This window comes from Homo sapiens, chromosome X (assembly GCF_000001405.40).
Source record: "Homo sapiens chromosome X, GRCh38.p14 Primary Assembly".
Classification (NCBI taxonomy): Eukaryota; Metazoa; Chordata; class Mammalia; order Primates; family Hominidae; genus Homo; species Homo sapiens.
The window spans coordinates 94,050,483-94,055,939 of NC_000023.11; the positions used below are offsets into that span (position 1 = coordinate 94,050,483).

The 5,457-nt window shown below is 36.5% G+C and overlaps 1 annotated feature.

The window, feature by feature from the left end:
- Positions 1,266 to 1,826: an enhancer, noted in NCBI's record as "OCT4-NANOG-H3K27ac hESC enhancer chrX:93306747-93307307 (GRCh37/hg19 assembly coordinates)". NCBI's record gives its function as "activates a minimal SCP1, AML or CMV promoter by ChIP-STARR-seq in naive H9 embryonic stem cells {active_cell/tissue: H9 hESC(naive)}" and the evidence as "EXISTENCE:reporter gene assay evidence [ECO:0000049][PMID:30033119]".

The window sequence follows — 5,457 nt, forward strand, 5'->3', positions numbered from 1 at the left end:
TGTGAATCCTGAATATCTGAGACAGGTCTCAGATAATTTAGAAAGTTTATTTTGCCAAGGTTGAGGACATGTGCTCATGTCACAGCTTCAGAAGGTCCTGATGACATGTGTCCAAGGTGGTCAGGACACAGTTTGCTTTCATTGCTTTCATACATTTTAGGGAGACAAGAGACATCAATCAACACATGTAAGAAGAACATTGGTTCAGTCTGGAAAGGCAGGACTAGTCAAAGTGGGGAGGGTGCTTCCAGGTCATATAGGTAGATAAAAAACAAATGATAACATTCTTTTGAGTTTCTGATTAGCCTCTCCAAAGGAGGCAATCAGGTATGCGTTTATTTCCGTGAGCAGAGGGTGACTTTGATTAGAATGGGAGGCAGGTTTGCCCTAAGCAGTTCCCAGCTTGACCTTTCCCATTAGTTTAGTGATTTTGGGGGCCCAAGATATTTTCCTTTAACAATGTCAATAGAATTGCAGTTACTTGGTAATAAGACAGAAGAGAAAAATGTAGGTCATCGTGGGCGCATTGACTCACGCCTGTAATCCCAGCACTTTGGGAGGCCGAGGCGGGTGGATCACGAGGTCAGGAGATTGAGACCATCCTGGCTAACACGGTGAAACCCCATCCCTACTGAAAATACAAAAAAAAAAAAATTAGCCGGGAGTGGTGGCGGGCGCCTGTAGTCCCAGCTACTCAGGAGGCTGAAGTGGGAGAATGAGGTAAATCCGGGAGGCAGAGCTTGCAGTGAGCCAAGATCGCACCTCTGCACTCCAGCCTGGGTGACAGAGCGAGACTCCATCTCAAAAAATAAATAAATAAAAATAAAAATATTATCTATTCACTAGCCATCTTGGTACTCTGGCTATAAGAAAAAGATGACTTCAGTGCTCACTCAAATCTGTAATAATTATTATTTCAATAAAAGAGATTAATAGATGAATGAGCATGTTAGGTTTGGAATCCCTGGGTGGGAAAATAATAGCCTTTTTCCTGGGTTTGTATATATTGTATAGTCAGGATTCTTTGTTCTAACACTTGTTTTGAAAAAGTAAATTTCTTCTAATACATATGTGCCCCTAAAAATGTTAGTGCCATGAAAATCATGCAGTGAAAACCACAAAGCTCATGTGACGAATGTGGTTAGGCACACGACACAAATTTCTTCCTAACCCTGGTATTTCCATGAGCCTTGCAGTATTTCTTTGCACAATTTGGATAGTGAAATGATTTTTAGTAATACATACCATGTTATAGCATTATAGAAGAAATGATTGACTAGATGCACATTATACATATTTAATAATTATACGTAATAATTATGTTAGTTTATGGAATACCTGTGTTGTTACATCAGCAAGACAAACCTGAATTAAAAGGACAGCAAAATTATGGCAATAGAAAACTGACAATGGACTCTTTTCATCTTATCTCAGTTCTTTTCTCAAAGCTAAGTCTAGGTAGAAGAGACTTTGGTTAACATCTCCTCCCCAAAGCTATCCCTTAGGGTTGTCTTTAAAAATGAAGACAGCCATTCAAATGTATGTTAAATGTAAACAAAAGTACATTTAGAAACTGTCAGGCCTCTGAGCCCAAGCCTGCATGTATACATCCAGATGGCCTCAAAGAACTGAAGAATCACTAAAGAAGTGAAAATGGCCGGTTCCTGCCTTAACTGATGACATTAATCTTGTGAAATTCCTTCTCCTGCACAATGAGTCTCAGAAGCTCCCTGCCAAGCACCTTGTGACCCTCTCCCCTGCCCGCCAGAGAACAACCCCTTTGACTGTAATTTTCCATTACCTACACAAATCCTATAAAACTGCTCCACCCCTATCTCCCTTCGCTGACTCTCTTTTCGGACTCAGCCCACCTGCACCCAGGTGATTAAAAAGCTTTATTGATCACACAAGCCTGTTGGTGGTCTCTTCACATGGACGCGCGTGACAGAAACCTTTGCTATTTTTATTGGCCTGTAATATACAAGAAGGTGGCAGAGGTCAGCATTAAGCTTAAAATATAAGTAAAAGAGAGTGCTTAATGCAAAAGCAGCTCTCAAGAAAACTCCACCACAATGCTTTTTCATCCAACAATTCCCTCTTGTGTGCCTGGATCTTTACTAATAAAGATTGCAGTCATAATTGTAGTAGTACACAGTTAATTTGGCTGATAGCTTGAAACAATTGGTTGTGTATTTACCAATTTTAAGTTTTTGTTTGTCAATTTCTCTTCTTTTTACAATATTTGAATAGTTTGTCTATTCCACTGAAAGCAGAAGGCAGCTCATATGTCCCTGTCTGGTTTCCTTCCTACCTTCCTTTCTCTCCCTCACTCTTCCCTTCCCTCCCTCCCTTTCTTCCTTCCTTTCTTCCATTTTAAAACTCATGACTTGCATTTTTCTATTTAATATTTTATATAATGTTTGGCAACCCTGATTTCAACTGCTAAATTTAATCTCTGTTCCCCAAGTAGGCAGTCGCAATAAATTTTAGAATACTACCAGTACAACTGAGAATCATCTCTACTCATTATTTTTCTTGAAAGATCGCACTTCAGATAATCTTGCTCCCTATAAAAGACAGTTTATTGTCAAATGTATAGTGCCTGGGGATGTTTATGATTTTAAACATGTTTCCATCCCGCTATTTTTCTGACAGCCTTAGTTCTGTCTTTACTGTGCTGAAAATAAACCCTGCATGGTAAGAAGTTTGTGCAGTCTTGGTAGTCCACTGAGGAGTGGGGATTACTTTAACTACAGCCCTAGATTTCTTACAGTAAAAGGAATATTTTCCAAAATTTGCAAACTGGACCATAGTTAAAAACAACTTGTTGTTGTTTTTAACTATGTCATTGGAAAATCTATTCATTTACAAGATTTATTGTGTAGTATTAAATCTCATAGTAATGGCTTTATATAGCCCAGTTTTCTTAAGTCAAAGTACATGATATATTGCTATGCCATTCCACAATCAACAGATGAAGGTGTTTCAGTAATTCCATATAGTTTAATGATTATAAGAGCCATAAACTGAAAGCCCTTTTTGTATGGATAAGAGTTTAACTTCCATAAATATATATATATGTATATATATATATATATATATATATATATATATATATTCCTTCATATTTTACCTAAGACTCAGATACCCTCATGAATCCTACAGATTGCAGCATGCTGAGTGTGTTTTGCAAGATGCACATATAAGGTGATGATTAATGTTTAATCCCTTTCAAAATCACTAGTGAGATCTGCTAGGTACAGTTACTGGATCTGTTTATTTTACCGGAAATGTACGTGGGTACTCTGAATGACTCACTGTCTACCTTTAGGTTTCTAGAACAATCTCTGCTTCCTGACCTCTTTTTTCCTGCTCCTGTGCCCTTGCAACAGACAGAACAAACACAATCTCTCTCTTTCTCTTTATACCTGGATTATATGTTAATTAAAATTAATATTAGGAACATAAACTTTCCCTACTGTTAGTTGTAATAATCTCATTGTCACACTAGACTAGTTGTTACAGAACTCTCATTTTGGTTTCAGATATTTCATTTTTTCCTGTTAAAATTAATATTTTTCCTTTGTCTATGATTTACATACTGATAATATTTTTGCCTCTATGAAACTAACCTGCTAATAATATGTTAAAGAAATTATTTTATGTTGCCATTTATACTTAAAACCATTGCCACATTCAACGTTAACAAAATTTATATATACTTATCCAAAGATACTGTATCTGACTGTCCCATTTTTAAATGTTTTTTGTTCTTTCTCTTTCCTGCCTGTTCCTTGTCCTGCCTTTAATAATGGAATAATATTCTACTTTCCTTCTTTCTGCCACATACCCCCTTGCACAATGTTTCCCTTATCTAATTATGTGTCTGTTTAGAAGTTCTAGAGACTAAATATTGAAACAATTCAGGCCACTACGGAATTCTCCCTGACCTGGAGATTACTTCAGGGTTGCAGTTAATTTGCAGCCTGGTTATACCCAAGATGGCACCAGCCCATTCACCAGATGGGTCAATAATCCAAGGTAAGTTGTCAGAATAAGTCATGTAGACTGGCACCTCCTTGCCTCTCCTGCATGTCTGCACATACCACACTACCCTTTTTAAGCCCTTGCATTCTGTCTAAGATTTGAAATGGTTTATTTAAAGCAGAAGCCTGGACGATTTCCCCCTGCTAGCTTTGGAAAATAAAGCCACCGTTCTTTCATAGCATTTTGCCTTTGTTGATTGACTTTGCAAGCAGCAAACAGCCAAGCCTGCACCTGGATACAATATATCCATTTTTATTATATTCTAGCTATACTGTAGATATAAGTCTTTACTAAAGAACAAAAGGAAAAAGTGTATCATATGTTCATGGTAGAAAAAGTAGATAATGTAAATTTTTGCTTCTGGGCTTGTCATCAGGATTGCAATTTTTAGATTTAGTTTGCTAATTGTTTGGCCTTTGAAAAATTATATACACTTGGTTTGTTTTGGTTTTCTTAAGTCAAAACAAGGAAATAAAATCACATTTGCTTTCCAAGAAAAGATAATGTTTAAGTGGTTGTTTAGTGTTTTGTGTCTTTGGGGGTGGGAGGGGGTGTGTGGAATACACAAACACACACACACAAACACACACAGTCTATATATAATCTTATTGGAGCCATCACTATATTTTAAGAAAATGAAATAATCTATTGAAGCTTAAAATTAGAATTTTGATTAAGCTAAGAGCTATTTTTGTAGAAAAATAATAAGGCCTCAAATAGTAAACTCATTTGAGGCAAGTAGCATTTGTTTCTGTGTATATATAAGAAATGCCATAAATGTCAATGGGATGTAATCTGCTCTGAGAGCTAAGTTATATTTTCCAAATTTCTACATGTCAGTGTTACTCAGTGAAATTGAAAGAGCATGGCCGGTGATTGAATTATGGCACTGCTCCTTACTATGTTGTATGATTTTGGCCTAGTTATTTAACCTCTAGAGTATCAGTCTTGTACTCTGTAAAATGGGATTTTTAAAAATAAGCTAAGCATCTATCTAGCACAGTGATTGCTTTGCTCTGTGTGCATAGTAAAATAGCCAATAATGATATTATGATTTGTGTTCCATATCAAAAATAGGAGATATTCAGGGATCAAAAGGAGACAAGTAAAGGGGACCTTTCTCATGTCTCCAACTTTTTCTCAGTATTCCCAGATTTAATATGTAGTAGGAAAATAGTCAGTGAGAAAGAAGCAAATGAAGAATTAACTCTGTATGTCTATGTTCAGGCATCTTGTTTTGGCTCTGCCACCCATCTTAAACGAGCCTTCACAGTCAAAGTAGAAGAGCATCAAAATTAGACATTGTTGAGAAATTCACTGCTGTTTCTGAATTATCTTGTAATTTTGAACCTTCTGCTATGAAATTAAATTATCTTCGTATTTTTGACAGTGAGATTAAATTTTGACAGC